The sequence below is a fragment of the Homo sapiens genome, chromosome 3 (assembly GCF_000001405.40).
Source record: "Homo sapiens chromosome 3, GRCh38.p14 Primary Assembly".
Lineage (NCBI taxonomy): Eukaryota > Metazoa > Chordata > Mammalia > Primates > Hominidae > Homo > Homo sapiens.
In genome coordinates this window covers 107,355,655-107,357,411 of record NC_000003.12, presented here as the reverse complement: position 1 = coordinate 107,357,411, position 1,757 = coordinate 107,355,655, and positions in this window count along the sequence as shown.

The window sequence follows — 1,757 nt, the reverse complement described above, 5'->3', positions numbered from 1 at the left end:
GATCGGAGCCTGCCCTACACCACCTTTTTATCCATAATTTATCACACACTAGTACTATTTTTGTAGTTAACATCTGAATGATTAGGCAGAAGTAAGCCATTTGGAACTGTGCTGCTAGGACATTGGAATACCTCTCTCTTTTCTTAACATATTACAGCTCTCTGGATATGTTTTTTATTTTTCGTTTTGAGACAGGGCCTTGCTCTGTCTCCCAGGCTGGAGTGCAGTGGTGCAATTATGGCTCACAGCAGCCTCAAACTCCTAGGCTCAAGCAATCCTCCCAAATTTGGGAGGCCTCAACCTTCCAAATTATGAGTATGTTTAATCCGAAAAAAAAGATAAAAATTGTTTCACTGCAACTTAAAAAATTGGTAATTTATTCCATAGATTTCCATCTAGTTCTCCAGCTTTCATATTCGCTCAACATCTACTGAAAGCTCCCATTCATGTTGAGTCAGCTAGCAGGGTATACAGGCAGGTCTGAAGCTTATGAATAGGAGAACTGGGATGACTGCCATTGTGCAGATCTTTCTGGTAAAGCCAGAATTTGAGGTTTAAATAACAGGTTGTCTTGAATATCTACTGATCCCCATGTAAGAATCTAATGTTATATCACTGACTCACCTGAGACTTATTAGTCACCTATAAAGCAACTATAATATAATGAGGAAAATAAGGGATTAATAATTTTTTTATCTTATAAAGCATTTCAAAAAAGATGCATTTGTAATTAGTAGAAGCATGTTTTTATTCACTGTATAGTTTTTCCATAAGAGCACTAAGCTTAAACTTGACTTCAGTATGTTAAGTATTCTGAGAATGTTACCTTTCTCAAAAAAACTTACAAAATGATAACTTGGAAACAAGGAAGATTTTGCATAAATCCTGCATTAAGAAATTTTTCTTGCATCACTGGGCTTACAGGAAGAAAGGAAAATCTTCAGCAGCCCGAAACACACAAACGCAGAAAGAATACACAAAATAATAATCTGTGAAGTAAAACCAGAGCAACGAGTAAACCCTTGTGAAAAGCAACGCTACCCTGATTGTAATGCCAGTGCCAGAGCTAAGGCAAGGAGACTAAGCCTTAGGCATGCAACAAGGTTGAGTTGCTGATCCTAAAACCCCCACATTAATCTGGGCATCTTAGAATGGGCCAGAGTGTTCTCAAGTCTAAGCTGAGTCTTAGAAGAAATAATTTTAATTTAATTTTTCCCTGGGTAATAGCATATTCAATTTAGGCCCCAGTTTCCCCTCCTCCTAAATATTGGAGACAAGGGCATATCAAGAAAGGTTGAGAAGTGGTAGAATCCTCATGCTTTGGGTTGGGATCCTGAACAACTCACTCTAGAAGTGATTAACTGTAAATGAAGTCCTTGAAGGAACTGAAACCTAGTTTGAATAATCCAGCCTAATGCCAGAGCCCACCACTGCTTACAGGCTGGGTGTACTTATAGGTATGGGCGGGAGGGATCTGGGCAGTATGGCTTGCTGCCCGGCAGGATATTGATAAGATGTTCCAATGATGAGGCGGTTCTGGCCCTTGTTCCGGCAGGTTGTCATCGTGGTGTTCCTTGGACCTTTGTCCAGCAAGATATGATAGGGATGTTTCTTTAGTTGGGCCTTTGTTTGCCTTGCGACACGGTCAGGTGGTTAGGCAGGAGGTTTCTCATGGCCCAAACCCCCATGAAATGTTTCACTTTGACCAAGGTCTGCAAAATAGCAGGGAGCTTAAAAAATGGTGCAGTTTGGACTAA